The following is a 1,118-nucleotide window of genomic DNA, read 5'->3' as shown; positions in this document are numbered from 1 at the left end:
CACCTCCCATCAGAACCATGGTGGATGGTGACTGTAGCTAGGTTTCAATATGGTTATTGTTTTCCTGATTATGAAAATAACACATAGCCATGATAGAAAGTTGAGAAAATACAGACATGGTGTAAAAAAGAAAGTAAGTGGCCGTAATCTCACCAAGCAAAGATCATTACTGTAGCTGCTGGGGATGAAGGGCGTGTACCTGTGAGACACACACCATGCTGGGCACACATGTAATCTTCCAATCATCCTGTAATTTTTCCAAAAACTGAGCAAGTGATTCTCAGTGAGGGCCTTCTGAGCCTCACTTTACTGGCAAGGAGACTCAGGCCTAGAGAGCTGAGGTGGCCTGTCTGCGATCCCATCGTGCAGCTGAGATCACATCCAAGCCCCCTGGCTCTTCTGCCTCTCCCCACTGCTTCTGGGGGTTGGTCCTCACAGCAGCTCACGCGCTTCCTTCCGTTCTTTTTTACAATCGAGTAGTTTTTGTTTGTTTATAGAACAGGGGTCCCATTGCACATATTAAGAGATATATCTTTTGTTCTCCACACAATGTCCTACCATTTGTGTATCCTCCCAAAACACCCAGGGTGACAATGTCATAGGGCACAGCCTCAGCACAGGCAGGTGAGCGCAGCTGGGGTGCACCGTGGGCCCTGAAATGCAGGGTAAGCCAATGGGAAGTTGGGGGAACACTCTGGTTTACAATGTCATAGGGCACAGCCTCGGCACAGGCAAGTGAGCTCAGCTGGGCGCACCCTGGACCCTGGAGTGCTGCGTGAGCTGTGGGAAGTCCAGGGACCCGCAGTTCTTGGTCTGTCTCTTTCTGCTTTCCCCATATCTGAAACGGGCCAGGTGCTTTCCAAGGTGTTTTGGCTCTGACCTGGAGGCTGGCACCACTCGAACGGGGTGTCCCCAGGGACCTGGGCCACTGTGGCGCCTGCCTTCAACCCCACTGCCAACCAGTCTCCAGGGTGTTGCCGGAAGTCGGGGGTGGCTCTCATGAGAAAGGCCGAGGAGGAAGGTCAGAGAAGTGGGAGGAGACCCAGGAAGGCCAAGAGAAGTTGGGTGTTGAAGCCCTGGGTAGCAGAGCATGGAGTGGGGCTGAGATCAGCTCTGGG

At 52.9% G+C, this 1,118-nt stretch overlaps 1 annotated feature.

The window, feature by feature from the left end:
* Nucleotides 258-898: an enhancer, noted in NCBI's record as "H3K27ac-H3K4me1 hESC enhancer chr9:137914415-137915055 (GRCh37/hg19 assembly coordinates)". NCBI's record gives its function as "activates a minimal SCP1, AML or CMV promoter by ChIP-STARR-seq in naive H9 embryonic stem cells {active_cell/tissue: H9 hESC(naive)}" and the evidence as "EXISTENCE:reporter gene assay evidence [ECO:0000049][PMID:30033119]".

The sequence above is a fragment of the Homo sapiens genome, chromosome 9, assembly GCF_000001405.40.
Source record: "Homo sapiens chromosome 9, GRCh38.p14 Primary Assembly".
NCBI lineage: Eukaryota > Metazoa > Chordata > Mammalia > Primates > Hominidae > Homo > Homo sapiens.
This window is presented reverse-complemented; position numbering and strand designations above follow the sequence as displayed.